The sequence below is a fragment of the Homo sapiens genome, chromosome 1 (assembly GCF_000001405.40).
Source record: "Homo sapiens chromosome 1, GRCh38.p14 Primary Assembly".
Lineage (NCBI taxonomy): Eukaryota > Metazoa > Chordata > Mammalia > Primates > Hominidae > Homo > Homo sapiens.
The window spans coordinates 40,783,532-40,796,936 of NC_000001.11; the positions used below are offsets into that span (position 1 = coordinate 40,783,532).

The following is a 13,405-nucleotide window of genomic DNA, read 5'->3' on the forward strand; positions in this document are numbered from 1 at the left end:
CCCGGGCTGGCCTTCGGGGCCACACTGCCCCACGCAGCGGTGGACACCACTTGCACGCGTCCGGCTTCCCGGCCCCGCGCGCTGCCCCCGCCACGCGGTTCGGCCCAGGCACCAACTCGGCCGCCCGTGCGCCCTGCCCCGCCGCCTGCTCCGCGCGTTCCCTCCCTCCGCCTCGCCTCGCTTGCTCGCTCGCTCCCTCCCGATTTGGGAAGGCGGCCGCGGGGCGGGCGGGGGAGGGGCGGGGCGGGGGAGGGTGACATGTGAGCGGCGCGCGCCGGTGGCAGGTGGAAAGGCGAGCGGCATGGAGCGCGTAATAAGAGAGTTGGAGTCGGAAAGAGCAGCCCCAGTCGCCGGGGAAGCGGGAGGTCAGTGCGGGCTCCGGCGGCCCCCAGGCTCCGAGCGCCCGCCCGCGGCCCCGGCCCGGCCCCTAGCCCCCGCCGCCCGCGCCCGCCCCGGGTCGCCCCTCTGGCCCCGGGTCCGAGCCATGCGTCTCTGAGCGCCCCGAGCGCGCCCCCGCCCCGGACCGTGCCCGGGCCCCGGCGCCCCCAGCCCGGCGCCGCCCATGGCCGAGGCCCCCCCGCGCCGCCTCGGCCTGGGTCCCCCGCCCGGGGACGCCCCCCGCGCGGAGCTAGTGGCGCTCACGGCCGTGCAGAGCGAACAGGGCGAGGCGGGCGGGGGCGGCTCCCCGCGCCGCCTCGGCCTCCTGGGCAGCCCCCTGCCGCCGGGCGCGCCCCTCCCTGGGCCGGGCTCCGGCTCGGGCTCCGCCTGCGGCCAGCGCTCCTCGGCCGCGCACAAGCGCTACCGCCGCCTGCAGAACTGGGTCTACAACGTGCTGGAGCGGCCCCGCGGCTGGGCCTTCGTCTACCACGTCTTCATGTGAGTTTGCGACCCCGCGCCCTTCCGCGTTTCCCCGCGCAAGCCTGGCCTCCCGGGGCACGGCCGCCCCGCCCTGGCTCCGCCTTCTACCCCCCTGCCTCAGGGCCGACCCTCATCTCTCTCCCCCCAGGCCTAAGCCCGGTTTCTGATCCCCTCGCTGAGCCCGACCCTAAGCCCTGATCTCCCAGGCCTGACCCCTGCTTGACCTCGCTTCTGACCTCCCCGCACCGCAACTGCTTATTTCCATCCTGACCGCCAATCTCTGCTCCTCTGTCCCAGGTACTCCCGACCGCCAGCTGCCTCCCCCAAGTCCGCTTGGCGAAGTCTGGGGCCCCTGGAGTGGGCGCCCTTTTCCTCTTCCCCACCCCTGCCTCCCTGTGTCCCAGACACAAAGAGGAACCCTTGGCTCCCACACGCTTCTGTCACCTGCTCCCCAGCTCTGAGCTATGAAGGGCTCCCCTCAGGGGTGCTCCTCTCCAGGGCGGCCCTCATTCCTACCCCTGCCCAGCTGACTGTGGGTGTGTGGGGGTCCCTGTGGGCCCCCTGGGCCCTGACACTCGCATATGCTGTGTCCGACTTGATCTGTGTCTTCGCTCAGTCTTCCCCTCCACCCTCAACTTCCCAGTGGCAACGGCGGCCGCCCTGCCTGCCCTGCCCTACCCTGCCGGCTTGGCCCAGCTCGCCTGCCTTGTTGGCTGGCAGCACCAGGCCTGGCTCTAGGCACCAGGGGAAAAAGAAAGAGGAGAGGGGTAGGTTTGGAAACACTGACGCTGCTGGGGCCCCCTCCTCCCTCTCACCAGGCTCCTACAACTTTCAAAAACACTGACCCCTCTTGGGTGTGAAGAGTGAATTTTGGCAGCTCAGAGCTCAGTCTTGGGGTACGGCCTGGCCCAGCCAGGAACATGAGAGGCCCCGCAGATATCAGTTGAAGGGCTGGGCCTGACGCTGGGACGCTCAGAGGTGCCCAGAGAGAGACCTCTGGTCCCTGGAAAATGTGTGGCTATTAATCCCTTTTTGCTGCCACCAGAGAGGGCCCTTTGGCGCTGGGGTCTCCTGGGTGGCCCACCTGCCTGCCCACCTGACTGTCTAGCAGCCCTCCTGCTGGCCTGGCTGTCCCTCTGCCAGCCTGAGTTTCCACCTGTGTGCGAGTTGGCCAGTCTGCTCACCCTTCCACCTAACTGTCCGCAGTCCTTCTGCTTGCCTGTTTCCATCCATCTGTGGCCTGTGCAGTTATCCGGGTGCCTGTCTGTGCATCTGCCTATCCACCTGTCCACCTGACTGTCCACTCTTCCTCTACCTGTCTTTTCCACCTGTCTCTGGGTCTGTCCTTCGGCCTGTTTCTCGGGTGCTTGCTGGCCTGCCTCTGCCCCATCTGAACTGGGCCCACATAATTTCAGAGGTGAAGGGGAGAAAGATGCGGCACAGGGAGGGGCAGGGGGGGAAGACAGCAGGGCTCTCTCGGCCATTAAGTGCGTTGGGGGTGGCAACCTTGACTCTGTGCAGAGACCTCAGCTGGGCTAGGCTGGGGCAGAGAGTTGAAATTGCTCAGGACATGAGGTCAAGCTTCGGTTCAGGGTCAACGGTTTGTAGTAGCCCAGTCCTTAGTGTCCATTGGGAGGCCTAGGATGAATATTTGTGGCTATAAAGAGGCCCGTTGGAGTGAGGAAGGCCCAGGGCTGGTGGAGTTGGGGGTGAGGGGATGGGGACTACTTCTTAGGAGTGGCTACAGAGCAGCCTCCTTGAGTGCCTAAGGAGGGTGAGACACCCCCCAGAGAACAACTGTGCCCTCCGTGGGCTCCTCTTGGGAAGGGACTTTTCCAAGGCATGGCAGGGCCTGGGGAAGCCAATAGGGCTCTGAGGTGGGGTCCTTACCCCCCCAGGCTTGGCCTTACAGCCCCCACAAGGGTCAGTGGAGGTGAAGGACCTGCCTCCTGTCCCCTGGCCAGCTGCTGTTGGTGCCTCCTTTGAAAGGACCGCCCCTTCCTCTCCAGGAGCTAATCCACTGGCACCTTTGCCCCACATCCTGCCCTTTCCTGATGCCAGGAAATGCCCTCGCCAGGGCCGTGCTTGTCCTGACCACTTGTCCCCGGGAGCCCAGGGCCAGGGCATGTCTTGGGAACTCTGGGGGAAGAAGTATGGTGTGAAAGTGTCCTGGTGTTTAAGGATCTCAGGGAATTGGTCACCCATCTTAGAGGTCAAAGGGGACAGAGGTGTCAGGAACCCCACCTCTTATGTGCTCTGTGACGTTGGGTTGATTGCTGGGCCTCTCTGAGCTTTAGGTCTGTAGGTTGTCAAAGCGGGTAGAAACCCCAACCTTGCGGCCTCTCTCTTGGATGAGGTAATAGAGTGGGAAAGAGCTTGGTAAGCTCCAGGGGCCTGTCTGAGCTTGAAAGACGGTTGTTATTATTGGGGCTGGAGGAGGGGGCCCACACAGAAGGTCTCTCCTGTTTGTGAGGAGCTCCAGATGTGGGGTTTCTCAGTCACACTGCAGGGTCTTGCCAGGAAGTACTTCCTGCTGTTGGACTCCTAGCCAGACCATTACACTTTGGGTCAAATCCTTTCTCCTCTTCCCAATCTGCCTCAGTGGCAGCCCAAGTGAGGGGAGTCCAGGGAGTACTGTTAGCTAGGACCCCCTTCCCAGAGACGCAGGCTGTGGCAGGAGGGGCCCCAGCAGAAGAGCCTGCAAGAGAAGGGCTCTGGGCGGGGCGCAGTGGCTCTCACCTGTAATCCCAGCACTGTGAGAGGCTGAGGTGGGAGGATCGCTTGAGCCTAGGCAACATGGTGAGACCCCTGACTCTACAAAATTTAAAAATTAGCCGGGCATGGTGGTGCACACCTGTAGACACAATTACTTGGGAGGCTGAGGTGGGAGGATCACTTGAACCCAGGAATTCTAGGCTATTGTGAACTGTGATTGCACCACTGCATTCCAGCCTGAGTGACAGGATGAGACCCTATCAATTAAAAAAGAGAGAGAAAGAGAAGGGCTCAGGAAGGAGGGAGCTGGGGTGAGAGGAGCGCATTCGCCCTAGGGTATGCCTCCCTCCCATCTGCCAGCCCGTCCCCTCTGAGCCCCACACAGAACCTGCATCTTTCTGGCTCCAAAAGGTGGGAGATTGCCTAGAGTACAAGCCCAGATTTGGCCTGTCCTGCGGCAGCTGCAAGCTCTGGGAAGAGAGGACTGCTGACTCCTGTCTTCTCCTGTTGGGATCCAGAATGAGGGGCCACTGAGCCCCTCTCCAAGCTTTCCCTCTCTCTGTGGACCCTCAGTCTGATCACCAAGCTGCATCCCCCTCCTATGCCCCAGTCCCTGATTTAAGCCCTGAAGCCTTCACAGGCCCTGCTCTCTGAATTTTAAGAAATACCACCTCGTGGCCCATCCTGCTCGCTGAGCCCTTATGGGGAATGCTCGCTGTCCCCTTGCTGCCCCCTCTCAAAGGCCACTCCAGCTTCCCTTGAAGTCAGAGTGCTGGAGGGGGCTGAGCAAGACCCTATCTCCCTTCATCCTCCCCAGCCACTATGAGCCGCAGGCCTGCCGCTCCCAGCCCCCAGGGCCCAGCAGACTTTCTCTATGTGAAGGTTTGCGGCTCTGTAAACATCCTCCCTCAGCCTTGTCCGTGGGGTCAGAAGCTGTGGGAATGGGGAGGGGAGGAGGTGGCAGCAGCTTCTGGGGCCCGCAGACTCCTAACCCCCGAGCCCCCGACCTCCCACCCCGGCCATCTGAGAAAGAACATCGCCTGGGTTGGAAATCATCCCAGCAAAGTGTCCTCAGAACCCTCAGGCATCCCCGCTAGGTCAGTCGGTCCTCACATTTTGACAGCCCCATTTTACTTGTAAGAAAACTGAGGCTCTGGAGACCAAAGTCACCTGGGAAATGAGTAGCAGATACAGCGGACTCTGTGCAGAGACCTCAGCTGGGCTAGGCCAGGGCAGAGAGTTGAAATTGCTCCTGCTTCCTTGTCCAGGACTGTTCGCTCCGTTCCTAGTGGCCACCGGGCTTGGCTCTTGGAGTCTGAAATGAAATCTCTGGTTGTGTGTGCAGCACCAACTATGCACAGGGCACCCTGCTGAGCTCTCTCTAAACCGGTCTCATTGTGTCCTTCTGCAGCCTTGTGAGGTGGGCACTGTTATCCTCCTCATTTGACAGATGGGGAAACTGGGACTCAGCAGAGGCCACCCAGTTAATGTGGAAGAGCCTCAGCCCGGAGCGGGGGCTGACTGGGAGCTGTTGCGCTCAGCACCACAGCCTCAGCTAGCAGCACCCCAAGTCCAGGCTCCTCAAGAACAGCACTCCTGTGTCATCTGTCCGTCCATCCCAGCACCCCGCACACAGTCAGCAGGGGGTGGGCAGTGATGGCATTTTGTGGAATTGAGTGGAAACTGCCAGCCTCACCCAGTGCAGCCACGTTTTAGTTGTAGACCACGTCACTGCTGCGTACCTGTCTGAATGTCTCACACATGCACTCACTGCAACATCGACACACATGCACAAACACACACACAGCATCCATCCAACAAAAAGAGTTCTAGTTTACAGCTGCCCCTACCTTTTCCCTGACTTCACAGACACTCACCATGGACACACACCCGGGCCCGTGGCTCCAGCCCAGACCCCTAGGACAGAACAAAGCTTGCTCCTGTCCTTGAGTTTTTGGCCTTCACCTATACACAACTGCAGGGCTGCCCTTGCGGGTCTGTGTGTATTTGTGTAGCCACCTTGGAGGGCAGCCTCAGAACTGTGGAGGAGCGGGGTGGCTGGCCTCGTAGAACTTCGCTGGCGTTTGCTCCTCCTGGGGGGTCCTCGGGGGTCCTTTGATCTGACCTTGGGGTATACTGCTGGGTACACCAAGACACAGAAAGGGGCAGCTACTCATCCAAGGTCACACCTAGTGAGTTAGTGGAGAACTGTGCCAGGAACCCAAGCCTTTTGTCTCCCAGATCAGGACTTTAGATAACAATTTTCCTAACCTAGCCAACAGGGGAGATGGATGCTCTAAGAACTTTGCCCTTGTGATTGGGAAAGTCTTTGAGTGTGACCCAAATTTTTCGTGCTGCTGTTTTTCAGCCCTAGTCCTTTTGCTTGGTCTTTGTAAGGAGCTGGGGAGACCATCCTGTTCTTATACTGCCTTCCTCCTCCTCCTTGCACTCCCCTTCACGCTCCTTTGCCTCCTTCTTCTGAAGTTCTTTGGTGTCACTGGAGCCGGTTCGATCTCTCACTGACGGCCCACCCCACCCCAACTCCATAGTACGTTCATTCTTCCATTGAAGACGCGCTGCTAGATGTCTAACTTCAATCCCTATTGCTGCCGAAGCCCTTATCCTTGGGATATTTAAGCCAGGAGTGTTTCAAGAGGTGGTTATTATTCTTGGGCTGATGGCAGCACTTTGAGTGGATGATTAATTTCAGGCTCTCTGAGCCAGTCAAAGGAGCTGGAACTGCCTGGGAGCAGGGAAAAAGGAAGGCCGAGGCCCTGCCCACAAAGGAGGCTGCCCAGGGAACTTCCCCAGACTCCCTCCTACCTCCCTAGCACCAATGTGGGTCTTTGGGGAAGGTCCGATCTTCTTGTGGGCTATGGAGCCCCCCAGCAGGGAATTCTGCATGTTTGCCCTGGGGGAAGCTCCTAGTGTGGGAGTTGAGAGGTTGAGGATGGGGGAATAGCAGGGACTTTTCGTTTCTCCAGAAGCTGTCCTGCGGGGAGTGAAGAGCACGGGCTCTGAGGCTGACAGATCTGCGTTCCTTCCTGGTTCTAGCCTTAGCAGTCGTGTGTCCTTGGGCAAGTTACTTAACCTCTCTGGGCTTCAGTTTTCTCATCTGAAAAATGGGAGTAATCATAATACCTGCCTCTAAGATTGTCAGGACTGGATGAGATAAGGCACCGAACACTGCTGGGCACTGTTAGCCATGATCATCGTTACTGTTATTATTATGCTGTTATCACTGTCCTCATTCTTCTCCTCCGGGGAGAGGTGTGGTAGGTGTGCTGGGCTCAGCAAGGTGAGTGTGTCTGAGTCTGCTCTGGAGAGAATAGGAGCTATGTCTGCCTGTGTCCTGGGGCGAGTGGTTCTCCATGGGAGCTGAGGCTGTGTCTTTTCAGCCTCCTGTGGGCCCTGCCCATGAGAGTGTCTGACTTACATTCTCTCGTGTAACGCTCACAGCCATCTTATCAGGTGGGTGCTGTCTTCTTCATGTCACAGTTGAGCAAAGTGAGGCTGGGTGAGGGGATGTCACCCAGCTCATGAATGGAGCCCAGCCTGGCTACCTAGCATGCTCACTGATTTGTTTCTTCCTTCATCTGGCAAACAGTTACAGAGCATCAGCTCCATACCAGGACCAGGGAGCCAGAGAGAGCTAGACCATGCCTGTACCCTGCCTGGCAGAGTGGGGGATTGGGGGTCACTGTGAGGAGGTCGCAGAGTCTGCCGGGACCACTGGCCTCAGCTGCTTCTTCTCCCAGGGAGAGGTTTGGAGAGAGGTCTGGTCTGTGTGTAGCTGTGAGTGTGTCTGTGAGTTATGGGGAGGACGGTGTATGCCAGAGGGCCACTGTGCGGCCGAGTTTGGGCCTCATGGTCCAACCCTGGCAGCTGGCCTGGCCCCCGAGAGATAAAAGTAGAGCCATGGTGCCCAGAGAGACAGCCAGGGACTCCTGGGAGAGGAGGGCACTCCCCCACTCTCTCCTGAGCAAATGATCATGGAGAATGAGGGCAGGGAATCCCAAGGGAGATTTAGAGATCTCAGTCCCCATGCTTACTGGGAAGGTGTCCACCCCCACTCCACCCCAGTTCCTGAGCCTCGGTATCTTCTTCTGTAAAATGGGCCTAACAGGAAAGTGGACCTCTCAGGGCTGCCTGGCACACAGTCGTGGTGGGCAAATGAGAGAGACTGCTGTCTCAGGACCTTGAAATGCATAGGGTACCAGGTAGGGAGCTCTCTTCCAGCATCTTCTCTGGGGGCCCCTCAGGTGACAGGGTGCCACTTCACAGGGCACTCAGGGGGCTGCCTGCCCCCAGTGGAGGCTCTGAGGGGCTGGAGAAAGGGTGCTGAGCCGACCTCAGTGGCTACACAGAGCCCCCAGGACTTCAGGTTCCCTGGGCAACCCTGTCCCTGGGGCAGGAGCTGCGTGCCCTGGGGATGAGGCACAGGAGGGGCAGCCCCAGGCAGCAGACTAATTGGGCTGGGAATCCGTGGGCAGCGCCTGAGGAAGGGAGGCAACAGGAGCTCAGCGATTCCCTCCCTCCTCACCCCACGGAGATTTGGGGGACAGTGGATAGAGCAGGGTCTCTAGCCTAAAGGATGGAGGGAAAATCTTGAGGCACATTCTCCTGAGACTCCTTGGACACCCAGGCCGGGAAGGTGGGACTGGAGGAAAGCTCACTGGAAATAAATGGAGCATGGTTCCCATCAAAGCAGAGGAGATGGAGGTCAGACAGCAGGAAGGACTGCCCAAGAACCAGGAGGTGAATGAGATTTTCTGGGATATTGTTTCAAAAACTTGGAGCCCCCTGTCTAGCCGGGCTGGACAACATTTACTCGAATTGTCCCTATCAAGCAAGGAATGGCTCCCTACTCCCACAGAGCGAAAGATGGAGGGGAGATGCCTGTTCCCTTTGAGCCCAACTTTGGCGGGGTGTGGGTCGGGGGTGGGGTAGGGATCAGATCGGGTACCCACTGGCTTTTGGGCAGTGGTGGGAGGGTCACAGGCTGCTCCTCCTTCTCTGCCACTTCTCTCTGGGAGCCTCGGGCCTGTCCAGGTTGCTGTCTTTGGGTTTATTTTTTGCTGGGCTTGGCTGTCCCCTGGGAGGGGAGGGGGCAGGGAGAGAAAGGAAAAGCAGGAACAGCTTTGTCAGCACAATCTCAGGCGCCTTCGCTACTGCCCGTCTTGGCCCAGCTGCCACCCTCTACTGGAGGGACCAGCCCCTGGGCACAGTGGGGATTCAGACCCTATGGAACTTCCTCGCTTAGAGGCAGGACCAGCAGGAAGGGACTAGGCCTTTCTACCCCCATCCTCTCTCCATATATCCCTGCTATACAGAACCTCAGGTCTCAGCGCTGGAGCAGATCCACGGGCTTCATTTCACAGGTGGGGAAACTGAGGCTAGAAGGGACCTGATGGCTCAAGGGCACAGCCCACACGGGGGCCTTTTCCACCTTCCCTCCTTATGGAGTAACATGGGAGAAATGCTGCCTCCCTGCTGCCCGTTCCCTGGGTGAACTCATTCACTCATCTCATTTTCCAGCCTCTGGGGATTGGTGGCAGTCTGGTGGGAGAGACGGGGGACGGGGAAAGGACAGTGTGACCCATGGCCCAGCAGAGGAAGGGAGGTACAACCTGGGGATGCACAGAGGCTAGGTGGGGGTATCAATCCCTCCCCTATATGCTTTTTATCCTAAAAAAATACATTCGCCCTATTTTACAGACAGGGGGATTAAGGTGTAAAGAAGTTAATGACTTGCCCAAAGTCAACATAGCTGACAGGTGGTAGAGGCAGGATTTGAACCTAGCATGTGCATCTCTGGGAGCCATGCATTTGGCCACTCCACCATGCTGCCTCCCCAAGGGGCCCCTGTGGGCCCTTCTTTCTTTTCTTTTCTTTCTTTCTTTTTTTTTTTTTTTTTTTTGAAGCAGGGCCTCACTCTGTCACCCACGCTGGAGTGCATGATCACTATGATCACTGCAGACTCAACCTCCTGGGCTCAAGTGATCCTTCCACCTCACCCTCCTAAGGAGCTGGGACTACAGGCGCACACCAAGACACCCAGCTAGTTTTTAAATTTTTCTGTGGAGACAGGGTCTTGCTATGTTGTCCAGGCTGATCTCCAACTCCTGGCTCCAGCGATCCTCCCACGGTGGCCTCGGGAGCCACCATGGCTGCCTGCTGGGCCCTTCCTTCTTGAATGCAACCCCCCTGGCTTTCCTCAAACCTGCCTCTGTGGCTTTTCTCTCTTGGTTCTATCAGCAAGCAGCTCTGCCTCCTCTTTCTGCCCCTTGAATGTTGGGGCTTTGTCTCAAGTCCTCTTCACAGTACATAGTTTCAGGGGGTGGTCTCATGCACTCCTACGACATCAGGGGTCACCCCTATGATGACAGCCTCCGCTCTGCAGTTTCATCCCTGCGCTTCCTGCCTGCTGACACCTCTCCTCCTCATTCCCTGGGCATCTCAAACTCAGCATCTCCCTCCAAACCTGCCCTCCTTCCTCAATCCATGTGACAGTGACTCCCCGATCCCCAGTGCCCAAGTCAGAAATGCCCTCCACACAAGCATCCTTTGCTCTCACCTAAGAAATGACTTACAGTGTCCCAAAGCATTGCGCTGTTTAGTGCTTCTGTGCTTTTCCTTCTGCCTGCAACTCCCTCCCCTCTTCTGCCCACTGCATCATCTAGCTAACTCCTATTCATCCTTCAACTCCCAGTTTGAGCACCACCTCTTCTTGGAAGCACTCCCTATCCCCATTACCCCCAGGCTCAACTGAGGGCCCTTCAGTGCCCCCAGAGTTCTGTTCACCCAGCCCTGTGCGTTTTTTGCTTTTCTGCATGGGACTATGAGAACTGGGTGTGTGGGGGTTGAACACAATTCTTGGCACATGGTCAGCAATGAGTGAATGTTTGATGAAGGTGGCATTGGGGCCAAGTAGTAAGGATGAGAAGGGTTTTGCCAACTAGAGAGAAGTGGAGAAAAGACCCCTCAGCCCTCTGTGTGGAGCACTGAGCTGTGGGTGTTCATGATTTTTATCCCGAGTGAGCTCCAGGTGAAGGGAACAGCAGAGCAAAGGCCTTGAGATGGGACTTCCTTCCCCTCACTCCTTTGCCCCAAGACCTGCAGAGCACAGGGCCTTGATTGACAGGCTGTGGAGGTGGGCCTTACCCTGTGGGCAGTGGGGAGCCATACACGGTGACAGGCCAGGGTGGGGACACTGGATGGGAACCAGGGTTTGACTCTTTCTGAGTGAGTGCTGTGCAGACGTGAGGTCATCTATTTTTTCCAGTACCCGCTAGGTAGCAGGCACTATTATTGTTCCCATTTTGCAGACAAGAAACTGGGGCTCAAAGAAGAGAAACACCACATACTAAGTTACACAGCTTGTCTGTGGTCGAGTCAAGACTCAAACCCATGTCGGCATCAGGGCCAAGCCCGAGCTCTAAATGGTTCTCAGCCTCGCCAGCTGACCCAAGGCAGTTTCCAGTGGCCTAAGGCAAAACTGAGGAGAATAAGGACGGGGTGGCGACTCTTTCATAAAGCTAAATTTATTCCACTTAAAGGACTGTCTTTTAGTATGAGATGATGTCCTTTCTTTTATGAAATGATGGGCTGGGAAAAAAATGTCCTTGCTTGGCAAAATAAAAAGTTGACAACCTTATGCAGTCCCCAAAGTGTTTTTGGAAATTTTACCGGTGGTGCGTGAAATCCCTGAGTCTGGGCGCCATCCCGGCTCCTCCCCACTGAGCTGTGGAGCCAGAAGAGGGAGGGGTCTGGTAGGGACAGAGGGATCAGGGGACAGAGGAGCCTCAGGTCCCGCACTTTGCAGTGAGGACCAACCCAAGGCTCTTTCCTAAGATTGGGTTGGGCGGGTGGGGGGGTGGGGGGCAGATCAGCCAGAATCAAGGGCTCACCCCTCAGTTAAAGGAGCACTGGACCGGGAGGCAGCAGGCTTGGGCTCAGCTCCTGCCTCTGCTTCCTGGAGGCTGTGTGATGCCAGGCAGGTGACCCAACCTCTCTGAGGCACCAGCTTCCTTATACATAGAATGACAATTGCCATCTGTCCCTGCTCACCTCACGGGGCTGCTTCCTATAGCAAGTGCTTGGTAAACTGCAAAGTGCTGTGAAGAACAGGGGGGTTGTGGTGGTTTTACCTTTTTTTTTTTTTTTTTTCCTTTTGAGACAGAGTCTTACTCTTTCACCCAGGCTGGAAGGCAGTGGTGTGATCATGGTTCACTGCAGCCTTGAACTCCTGGGCTCAAGCGATCCTCCTGCCTCAGCCTTTCATGTAGCTGAGACCGCAGGTGCACGTCACGGCGCTAGGCTAATTTTTAAATTTTTTGTAGAGAGGGGATCTTGTTATGTTGCCCAGGCTGGTTTCGAATTCCTGTGCTCAAGCAATTTTCCCACCCTGGCCTCCCAAAGTGCTGAGATTACGGACATGAGCCACTGCACCCAGCCCTGGTTTTACTGTTCTTATCTTGCCATCAGAGGATCCCACTTCTCTAGGGTCCTGGGCCCCTCATCTCACTTTCACTTTTCACTTGCACTGCTTTGAGCCCTGAGGAAGAGACATATGGGGGAGCGGGGCAGGTGGAATGACACAGGCCCTGTAAAAGCAGGGTGGCCACACTAGCAATTCCTGTCCTCAGGCTCCCCTGGAGGACAGCTCAGAGATGCCCAGGCTGGAGACCTGGGGAACTCTAGGAAAAGAATGCACGAAGCTGGAGCCAGGCTAGAGTTCTAAGCACAGACTTTGTCACTGAGTAATAAGATTCATAGTCTAATCTCTACCAGGTATTGTGCTAAATATTTTTCACACTGCTTCATTTAATCCTTCCAAGAGCCCTATGAGGTAGGTCCTATCATTATCCCCATTGGATGGAAGATGACACTGAAGCTTAAAGGTGAAACACTGCCCTTGTCACACAGCCAGGAAGTGGTGAATGCCCAAGAGGACGGGAGTTTTCTGGGCTCAGCTCAGACAACTGAGTGCCTGGAGAGGCCGAGTGTGCAACGATTCTGTGACATGAGAGGGTGGGAACGGTTTGCAGGACTGTGGTGGGGGGCCGAGGGGGTAATCAGTGCACATCAGGGGCACCGGGTTGGGGTCGGAAGGCAAGAGACACGATCCTGCTGGCTAGCTTCTAGCAGTCACCTCCCTCTCTGAGTCTCAGCCTCCCTCTCTGCTCTGGCTCTCAATAATAACAAAGATAATACTAGCAGGACCTTACTGAGTGCTTACCGTGGACCAGATGCTGCTCTGAGAGCTTGCCACGCCTTCTATCACTTTTTCCTCTCAATGACACTATGAGGTAGGTACTGTTATTATGCCTACTTTTCAGATGAGGAAGTTGAGGCACAAAGAGGTTACGTGACTTGCCTGGGTACATGTAGCAGGGCCAGGATTCTAACCACAAGAGTCTAGCTCTATAGGCTGTGATCTTACCCACCTAACTCACCCGGACTATGTCTGCCTGCTTCTAATGGGGGGTGATATTAGGAGAAGTTGAGCCTTAAAGTTCAAGGTCCTGGGCCGGGCGCTGTGGCTCACGCCTGTAATCCCAGCACTTTGGGAGGCAGAGGCAGGCAGACCACCTGAGGTCAGGAGTTCGAGACTAGCCTGGCCAACATGGTGAAACCCCGTCTCTACTGAAAATACAAAAAATTATCTGGGTGTGATGGTGCGCACCTATAGTCCCAGCTACTTGGGAGGTTGAGGCATCAGAATCGCTTAAACCCGGGAGGTAGAGGTTGCAGTGAGCCGAGATCGTGCCACTGCACTCCAGCCTGGATGACAGAGTGAGACTCCATCAAATAAATAAATAAATAAATA

At 57.0% G+C, this 13,405-nt stretch overlaps 1 protein-coding gene across 3 annotated transcripts in view, besides 1 other annotated feature; it reads left to right on the forward strand.

The window, feature by feature from the left end:
• The window catches only part of KCNQ4 (potassium voltage-gated channel subfamily Q member 4), a 56,666-nt gene continuing 43,516 nt past the window's right edge, over window positions 256-13,405 (forward strand). For all 3 annotated transcript variants that reach the window (NM_004700.4, NM_172163.3, XM_047434057.1), the window contains exon 1: window positions 256-876. In NM_004700.4, coding sequence (NP_004691.2) covers window positions 563-876 — 314 coding nt within the window. In that variant the 5' untranslated portion in view covers window positions 256-562. The remainder of the gene's footprint in view (window positions 877-13,405) is intronic.
• Window positions 4,384-4,883: an enhancer, noted in NCBI's record as "H3K4me1 hESC enhancer chr1:41253587-41254086 (GRCh37/hg19 assembly coordinates)". NCBI's record gives its function as "activates a minimal SCP1, AML or CMV promoter by ChIP-STARR-seq in primed H9 embryonic stem cells {active_cell/tissue: H9 hESC(primed)}" and the evidence as "EXISTENCE:reporter gene assay evidence [ECO:0000049][PMID:30033119]".